Source organism: Homo sapiens, chromosome 6 (genome assembly GCF_000001405.40).
Source record: "Homo sapiens chromosome 6, GRCh38.p14 Primary Assembly".
NCBI classification, from domain to species: Eukaryota; Metazoa; Chordata; class Mammalia; order Primates; family Hominidae; genus Homo; species Homo sapiens.
In genome coordinates, this window is record NC_000006.12 from 106,658,916 (window position 1) to 106,669,022 (window position 10,107).

Consider the following 10,107-nt stretch of genomic DNA (forward strand, 5'->3'; position numbering starts at 1 on the left):
ATCTGCCTGATGTTGTCCCACAGCTCACAGACACTACATTCTTTTTTTTTCCCCCAGTCTTTTTTCCTTCTCTGCTTCCTTTTGGCTAGTTTCCATTACTGTTTTCAGAATCACTGATCTTTTTTTCTGTTATGTTGATTCTTTCCAGTACATTTTTTATACATTATATTTTTTTCTCTAGAAGTTCCATGTAGGTCTTCTTATCCCTTCAATTTCTTCATTATTTTATATTTTCTTCTACCTTCTTGAACATATAGAACATATTTAGGCTGCGTGCGGTGGCTCACACCTGTAATCCCAGCACTTTGGGAGGCCAAGGCGGGTGGATAACTTGAGGTCAGGAGTTCGAGACCAGCCTGGCCAACATGACAAGACCCTGTCTCTACTAAAAATACAAAAATTAGCTGGGTGGGAAGGCGTATGCCTGTAATTCCAGCTACTCGGGAGGCCAAGGTACAAGAATCACTTGAACCTGGGAGGCAGAGGTTGCAGTAACCCAAGATTGTGCCACTGCACCCCAGCCTGGGTGACGGAGTGAGACTCTGTCTCCAAAAAAAAAAAAAAACATATTTATAGTAACTGTTTTAATGTTCTTATCTACTCAGTATTCCATCATTTTTGCATCTGTGTGTATTAATGCTTTTTCCCTCTCTGGTTATGGGTCATATTTTTTGCTGCTTTTCATGTCTGTATATTGTGAATTTTACATTGTCATTTGCTAGACTTTTGTTATATTCCTTTAAACAGTGTTGGGCTTTTTCCCAGGATGCAATAAAGGTGCTTGGAATTTGTTGGCTCTTTTCAAGGCTTCTTTTAAAGCTTTGTTAAGATAAATCCAAAGCAGCCTTTATTCCAGGGCTAATTTTACTTTACTTTGAGGTGATGCTTTGATGCTGCATATATTTGAGTCTTTCGCTTTGGCTGTTCGAAACACAAACTTATTTCCGTCCCTGTTTGAGCTCTAGGAATTGTTCAGTCCACTGCTCTTTGGGGATTGTTTCCCCAGCCTTGGGAATTTCTTCTCATGCACTCATAGATCAGTACTCAGCCAGAGACTCAAGGAATCTCCCTGCAGATCTGTTGAGCTCTCTCTTTGTGCCACTCCCTTCTATTCAGCACCCTGCTTTGCAAATTCTAGCTGCCTTTGCCTCCTTGAACTTCAGATCTCTGTCCCTTTAACTTACCCCCCACCCCACATACTGTTTAGCTTCCTCTCTGGAATGAGGCCTGAAAACTGCCCCTAGGCATTAAGCTGGGGAAATCAAAGGGCATATCTCATTTTCTTTTCTTTTCTTTTTTTGGAGACAGGGCCTCACTTGGTCACCCAAGCCGGAGTGCATTGGCATGACCATGGCTCACTGGCAGCCTCGACCTCCCAGGCTCAAGCTCTTCTCAGCAACCCTCAACACTCCCCACCCCCCCCGTGAAGCTAGGACTACTGTAGTTTTTTTTGTAGAGACAGGATCTCCCTGTGTTGCCCAGGCTGGTCTCAAGCTCCTGGGCTCAAGGAATCCTACCCCCAGCCACCCCACAGGCATGAGGGACCACACCTGGCCTGGCTTACTTCATTTGTTTCTCTTCTCTCACAACTTTTTCTCCTGAATGTCTGTTGCCTAATGCCTGAAAATGGTCATTTCATATATTTTGTCCAGTTTTCTAGTTGTTTAAGAAGGCAGAGTGTCTTAGTTCTTTTTTTTTTTTTAATCCCCTATTCTGAGAAGCAGTCTTAGTTCATTTTTGCTGCTATAACAGAATGCCTGAGACTGGGTGATTTATAATGAACGGAGATTTACTGGCTCACAGTTCTGGAGGCTGGGTGGGAGGTCCAACATTGAGAAGCCAGCACCTGGTGAGGGCCTTCTTGCTATGTCCACACATGGCAGAAAGCAAGGGTGGGGAGAAAAAGAGGGAGAGAAAGGGAAAGCACATGGGGGGCTGAACTTTCCCTCTTAGAATGGCACCAATCCCACTCAAGAGTGGAGTTGTTATGGCCCAATCACCTCTTAAAGGCCCCATCTCTTAATACTGTTTCAGTGGCAGTTAAATTTCAGCATGAGTTTTGGAGGGGACAAGCATTCAAACCATAGCACAGGGTAAATCCCATCTCCATTACTCTATCTTGGATGGAAGCAGTTCTTCTTCTGAGCCATATTTAAAGTAGGAAGAAATTTAATAGAAAACAAGTATTTGTTTTGTTTTGTTTTGTTTTTTTTTGAGACGGAGTCTTGCTCTGTCGCCAGGCTGGAGTGCAGTGGCGCGATCTTGGCTCACTGCATCCTCCACCTCCTGGGTTCAAGAGATTCTCCTCCTGCCTCAGCCTCCCCAGTAGCTGGGACTACAGGCGCCCACCACCATGCCCGGCTAAATTTTTTTGTATTTTTAGTAGAGTCAGGATTTCACCATGTTGGTCAAGCTGGTCTCGAACTCCTGACCTTGTGATCCGACGCCTCGGCCTCCCAAAGTGCTGAGATTACAACATGAGCCACCAGGCCCAGCCAGTATTTGTTCTTTATAAAATTCAGGTTTTGGAATATGGTGTTTAAACCACTTAGGTGTTGTCAGTGTGTAAATTATATGTGATGCCTGCATTGGTCTCTCTGTAGACCTGGTGGTCAAATAAGAGTAAGGACCTATGATATTTCTGTACCACTCTTTTAGAGTAAAACATATTTCACGTTTTTATCGTATTTTATTTGGCCCTCAGTAAAACTGGAGCAGGTATATCCATTTTTACTGTTGTGGAAACTGTTGTGGAAAAGAATGGTTAGTTCTTTTTTTTTTTTTTTTTTTTTTTTTTTTTTTTTTTGAGACGGAGTTCCGCTCTTGTTTCCAGCTCTCCACGCTGGAGTGCAATGGAGCGATCCCAGCTCACTACAACCTCCGCCTCCCAGGTTCAAGCAATGCTCCTGCCTCAGCCTCCTGAGTAGCTGGGATTACAGGCATGAGCCACCACGCCCGGCTAATTTGGTATTTTTAGTAGAGATGGGGTTTCTCCATGTTGGTCAGGCTGGTCTTAAACTCTCAGCCGCAGGTGATCCACCCACCTCGGCCTCCCAAAGTGCTGGGATTACAGGCGTGAGCCACTGCGCCCGGCCTAGAACAGTTCTTGCTAGCCTCTCCTAACAGCTTCAGAAGAATCTAAAGGATTTTTTTTCCTTTTCTTTGTATCATTGATTTATGGTTACTCCTATGTCTGGCTTTTTCTTTAGTCTTTTTAGTAAAATAAGCATTCTTGAATTTCACATTTCTACCCCTGGGCTATACCTATCCGTAAAATACAAAATTCAAATACTGCATAGTCTACCGCTGTCTATCTTAGTAACCTTTAGAAAGCCATTTGTTGCTGTGTACTTTACTTTCCTCACCAATGAATATTCTGGTTTAATGATGGCCCTGGAGTTATTAATATTTTGAGATTATAAGTGTAGAATTGCATCTACTAGTGAATTCTGAATTCGGATTGATTAATTTATATATACAAACTTTTAGAGTGGCAACACAGTGGAAGAGAATTCATTTTTATGTTAAGAATCTTAATGGTGCCTCCTCATAAAAGCCAAGAATCCAGTGGTTCTTTTTTTTTTTTTTTCCCTAAACAATGCCTAAACTCTTTATTTAACCAACCAGTATTTCTGGTTTTCTTCCTGATGCAGGATTTTAAAACCTTAGAAGTCTATAAATACTGCATTCAGACTTTCCACATCAAGAGAAAGGGGCCCAGGGCAGAAGATGTCAGGCCCCAGGCTGTTTTGGGGTGGGAAAAGTGGCAAAGATTTCTCAACAGTCTGTTTCAGTTTTCTAACTTAATTGAAATGCCTTTAAGCTCTGCTTCATCCCCAAACTTTCCCCTATGGCGTCTATGATAGAAAAACACTCCTCTCTCATATACGCCCCACCACTGGGGAGCCAGGGGGAAGGGAATGGGCATTACACAGGCAAGCCAAACTTTTTATTCAGCCAGAAAATGGAAATCCAATGGTTCTTTATCAAGCCTAATGTAAGATAATTGATTAAAAGAAAAATACAAAAAATCCTTAAAAACATCACCTACTTTTTTCCCACAGAAACTATGAAAATTATTTTGTCAAAGCACAGAAAGTGAGACGCCTCATTGCTAATGACTTTGTAAATGCTTTTAACTCTGGAGTAGATGTCTTGCTAACTCCCACCACCTTGAGTGAGGCAGTACCATACTTGGAGTTCATCAAAGAGGACAACAGAACCCGAAGTGCCCAGGATGATATTTTTACACAAGCTGTAAATATGGCAGGTGAGGATTCCTCAGGAACATTCTGATTTTCTTCAAATTCTTAGGCAGGTACCCTGGTCTTCAACTTAAGATTCTAGCTAGATGGTTTCCGAAAAGCAAAAGTCTATCCTTTTGGAATGCTTAGGAGTGAGTGTGTGTGTACATGTATTAGTCTGTTCTCACACTGCTATAAAGAAATACCTGAGACTGGATAATTTAATTTAAAAAAGAGGTTTAATTGGCTCACAGTTCTGCGGGCTGTACAGGAAGCTGAGCAGCTTCCACTTCTGCGAATGCCTCAGGAAACTTAAATTCACAGTGGAAGGTGAAGGAGAAGTAGCCATGTCTTACATGGCCCAGCCCAAGCAAGAGAGAAAGGGGGAAGGTGCTACACACTTTTAAAACAACCAGGTCTTGTGATAACTCACTCACTATCACGAGAACAGCACCAAGGGGAATGGTGTTAAACCGTTTATGAGAAACCGTCCCCATGATCCAGTTGCCTTCCACTAGGCCCCACCTTCAACATTGGGGATTACAATTCAACATGAGATTTGTGTGGGGAGACAGATCCAAACCATATCCGTACACTTGCATGCACTCTCACCACACACACACAAACACAACACACTTAGTAGTTTTTTTTAACTTTTATTTTGAAAAATTTTAAACCCACAGAAAAGCTGAAAAAGTGGTATAATGAATGCTGATATGCCCTTCACCTGGATGTAATCTTGTTAACATTATATTTGCTTTGCCCTTCTCTTCCTCTTTCTACACACCCACACTCACCACACAAACAACTTTGTTTTTACCTGAATCATTTGAAAGTTTCAGATGTCATGACACTTCACCCCTAAATTCTTTTGTACAAATCTTATAAGGATAAATTTTCCTACAGAACCACAATTCCATTGTCATACCTAAGAAAACTAACATGATTGAAGAATAATTTAAATATGGTTTATATTCAAATTTTCTCAGTTCTACCAAAAGTGTCTTTTATAAGTTGTCTTTCCTCCTGATATATTACATTGGTTTATGGTATCTTTTTAAAATCTAGAACAATCACCCCACCTCTCTTTTTTCTTTAAAACCACATCAGGCTATGCTATAATTTTTGTTTCAATCATCAAACATAATGTAGAAAACTTAAGAGGAAAAGGAAAGTCTATTACATTTACCTATACTTTTGCTTACTGTGTTCATTCTTCCTTCCTGAAGTACCAAGATTCTTTATTTTGTCACTTCTGTTTAGAGAAATTTCTTTAGCCTTTCTTTTAGGGTAGGTCTGCTGATGAAAAATTATCATAGCTTTCCTTTTGAGAATGTGTTGATTTCCCTTTGATTTTTAAAGGTTATTTTTGCTGGATGTAGAACTCTGGTTCAACAGTTCTTATCTTTAGCACTTAAAAAATGTTAAGAGCCCAGTCCACTTGTGCTGTAAGATGTCCCATCCATAATCAGGATTTGTCAGATTGCTTCCTCATGATTGGGTTGAGTTAAACATTTTTGGTAGAAGTACTACATAATCTTCATGTCAGGAAACAGTTAATATCAGTTTGTCTCACTTTTGGAAACCAAGTTGATCACTTCGCTAAGGAAGTAACTGCTAGATGTTTCCTTATAAAAAGGTACATTTTTCCTTTTATCATTTTTTTAAGCAATTTCTGGAGTAATATTTTGAGACCATGTGAATATCCTATTTTCCAATTATCTTGAACCCAGTTTTAGCATTCATTGATCATCCTTGAAATATTAGCTAGAGAATTACAAAATTCTGGCTTTACTAAATCTGTCATTCCTTCTACATTTATTAGCTAGCAGTATTCTCTAAAGAAGAGCCTTCCTTTTTTTCTTTAATTCAATGTATTATAAGCAATTACTGTCAGTATTGTTTTTGATGGTCAAATTGCCTTAAATTTGGCCAATAAGAGCCCCTTCAAGTTATATGTATCCTTTAAAACTGTCCCCATTTTAATTTTTGAAAACTTGTTTTATTGTATAACAAGATGGTCTGGGATTTTGTACTTTCTCTGCCCAAACCTGGAATTAAAACTACCCTGAGCTAATTTCTCATCTAATGGATTGCCAAAAATTCAAAAACTGAACAACACACTCTGTCTGCAAGGCTATAGGTGGAAGTTCAAAATGGTACAACTTCTTTGCAGGGGAATTTTGCAATATCTAATTACATATGCATTTGTCGTTTGATGAAGCAATCTCCTCCTCATCTAAGAAGATTTCAAGAATACCAAAAAAATACATACACAAAGTAATTCTCTGGGGCATTGTATAAAATAGCTAAATATTGAAAACAATCTAAATACCCAACCACAGAAGACTGGTTTACTCAATTATGGTAAAACCAAGTAATGGAGTACTATACAGCAATAAGAAATGAATGAAGAAGGTTTCTGTGAACTGATACAGAATGATTTCCAAGATATATTGTTAAGTAAACAAAACATAGTACAAAAGCATTATATAGCATAATATTTTTGGTTGTTTTTTAAACCTTATCCTGTATTGTACTTATTAGCACTGGAAAGTGGAAGAGGTCTCTGCTAATTAGGGTGGAGAATTAATCACCTACTGGGTTTCCTTCTTTTCCCAGGATTGCCAGCAGTGAGTATCCCTGTTGCACTCTCAAACCAAGGGTTGCCAATAGGACTGCAGTTTATTGGACGTGCGTTTTGTGACCAGCAGCTTCTTACAGTAGCCAAATGGTTTGAAAAACAAGTACAGTTTCCTGTTATTCAACTTCAAGAACTCATGGATGATTGTTCAGCAGTCCTTGAAAATGAAAAGTTAGCCTCTGTCTCTCTAAAACAGTAAACATATCTTACAAATTAAAATGACTTTTAGGCTGGGTGCAGTGGCTCACACCTGTAATCCCAGCACTTTGGGAGGCCAAGGCGAGCGGATCATGAGGTCAGAAGATCTAGAACAGCCTGGTCAACATGGTGAAACCCCGTCTCTACTAAAAATACAAAAATTAGCCAGGCTTAGTGGCGGGCATCTGTAGTCCCAGCTACTCAGGAGGCTGAGGCAGGAGAATCACTTGAACCCTGGAGGTGGAGGTTGCAGTGAGCCGAGATCATGCCACTGCACTGCACTCCAGCCTGGGTGACAAAGCAAGACTGTGTCTCAAAATAAATAAATAAAATAAAATAAAATGACGTACAGAGATTCTATATTCTAGAGAGTCAAATGGTCTTGCTCAATTCTTGTAATTAGGTTCTTGTTAATACAGTCATTCCATGGAATTACTTTTTAAAATTCCTGTGACAATTAATAATAAATAACGTGTCAGCATTTAGTAAGCATCCACTAAGTGTACAATACTTCTACAATAACACAAGATACCTGTTCCTCAAAGACAATGCATTCTGCCATAATGTTCATTAAAGAGTTTACAGTAAAAATAAGATTAGGGATAAACTTCTCAAAAATTGTACATCTGTGTAACTAAAGCACTAACAAAAACATGAATAGTCCTTCTAGAGGTAACTTGGATAGCCTAGGCAGGCAACTTATCATGTGGTGAAGGCCGCCTCAGGGGTTGTTAAAAATGCACAGAAACAATTGAGTGCGATTATTGGCTTCTGAGCGCTGAGCAGAGCAGGTGGAAGAGGAACTTTGAGCACAGGAGGAAATGCAACCAGTCAGGGCCCAGAATCATGCAAATCTCAGGGGTATGCCTCTCTGGGGAGGAGCTCCACTTGCAGGGACTCCTTTTATTTCCCTAAGAAAGAGCTGAAATGACTGAGAACTTTCCTTTCCTCCTTAGAGTTACAATTTTACTTCTGCTATTCCGGAGCCCATGCCTAGAAGCCAGAACAACTCCATGTTACACTGAGTTCATGCTCCTATTTACTGATCACAAATGAGCTCATTAATGTCATCGAAACATTTATTGTAACCTAACAGACCATCACAGATTGGAAACTTGGTAGATAGCAGAGCATGGTATTAGTGAAAAAGGTTCAAAATACACAAGTAACATACACTCTGAAAAACATGCAGATAATTTGCTGATGAAGCAGAAGAGGGGATGCGCATGGCAAGAACTTGCCTTACCCCAGATTCTCTATATCTCATGGTTTCCTTTTCCTCTTGACTGTCTTTACGAGTGTTTTTTATTTGGGACCCTCGAGCCCAGAGATATTAATGGATATCTGTATTCAATATTTGACAAAATCTAATGGAAACCATCCATTTACTCATGATAAGGCTTCATCACTGGATTTCTGTGTCTTCACTAGAACACCATTGTCATCTCATATTGATCAGGTATTTTAATCTAGCACTTACATATTGTTGATAAATGAAAGCTGAATTGTTACTTAATAAATTCACTTTGTTTAGTAAAAAAAAATTGTTTTCTAAATATGACGTTCATGAAGAGAAAATAATGAGTCAGAATCATCTGCAGAACCACTGGAATGTTTCATCGTCACCTGTTAGTTTTCATAAACAGTTTTCTGTCCTCTCTGAGATCCTCCCGCTCCCAAATACTCAACCTGATTAACTTCACATAAAAGTCTTATGTGCCAGGCTTAGTAATATTCCTATAGATTTTGACTCTGAATCCCTGAAAGAGGAAGAAATCCATGAGAGAAAATTGCATTACTTTATAGCAAGAGGAAACCGTTTTAAGTTTTTTAATTGCTCAGACACCACAACATCCTAGATGGAGGAAACCATTTTAGTTGAAGGAGCAAATATGATGTCAAAAGCAAGTAAATAAACAAACCGTTGCCCCAATCTGTTTTTATGTAATGAATTTAAAAAAAAAGAGAGAGAGAGAGAGATGGGCTCTCCCTGTGTTGCCCAGGCTAGTCTCAAACTCCTGGGCTCAAGTGATCTGCCTCCCTCAGCCTCCCAAAGTGCTGAGATTAAAGACGTGAGCCACCACACCTGGCCGAAATAATAATATTCAATATTATATATTCAATGATATTATTCAGTATTCAATATTATTTCAAATAATATTAAATCTCTTGTTCCTGTATCTCTACATGAGCTGCACTAATAATTTGAATCTGGAAATTAAAAAGTGAAACATTTACCGTTCTCATATACTGATACCCAACTACCATGAAATGATACCTAATTTGTTTTTCTTTTCTCTTCATTTTTACTCTTAATCTAGTAGGTCTCATTTTGCCAAGTCACTGTCTGGGAATTTAAGTGGCAAATACTTTCTTTGTCTCAGCTAATTAAACTCTAAAATTATTAGCAACAGAACTTCCAGAACAGAGTGTTTTTGAAAGGTGAAGATGTCTACACGTGTAAGATGAGTTCCTTGATAACACCTGAAAGACCCAAACCAAAGCAAAAGTTTGAACACGTGTCAGAGTGAAAAAATGATGTGATCATAAAACATGGTGCTCTGCCACCACAGAGAGCCAAAGGAGCAAGCGGGAAAACCACTGTTCCACGCTGGCCCACACTTAGCGTTACCAAAAAAAGCACCTGAAACCCAGGAGGCAGAATGTTCCCTTTGAGTGGCTGACACCGGGTCCTCTGTGATGACATCAGACTGGGCTGTTTAAAATTAAAGATGGCATGGTATAGAAGAGGAGCTTGCAAAATGACAAAAAAAAGTGCTTATTCCTATTAGGAAATAGCTGCACCTCCTAATGTAAATAAGTAACTTTAGGATTTTAAACAGAATCTGAAGGATAGTGAAAAGAAATAAGCAGGTACTAATAAGTAGACCTCGGGATTCAGCAAGCCGTGTGCCATACCTTATTTGATTCAAAGCAGGGGAGTAGGCCAGGCGCGGTGGCTCACGCCTGTAATCCCAGCACTTACGGAGGCCGAGGCGGGCGGATCACGAGGTCAGGAAA

At 39.6% G+C, this 10,107-nt stretch overlaps 1 protein-coding gene across 2 annotated transcripts in view; it reads left to right on the forward strand.

Moving 5' to 3' along the window:
• Positions 1-9,502, forward strand: part of QRSL1 (glutaminyl-tRNA amidotransferase subunit QRSL1) — a 38,840-nt gene extending 29,338 nt beyond the window's left edge. For both annotated transcript variants that reach the window (XM_011535924.3, NM_018292.5), the window contains 2 exons: positions 4,065-4,270; positions 6,867-9,502. In XM_011535924.3, coding sequence (XP_011534226.1) covers positions 4,065-4,270; positions 6,867-7,087 — 427 coding nt within the window. In that variant the 3' untranslated portion in view covers positions 7,088-9,502. The remainder of the gene's footprint in view (positions 1-4,064; positions 4,271-6,866) is intronic.
• The last annotated feature ends 605 nt before the right edge of the window (positions 9,503-10,107 follow it).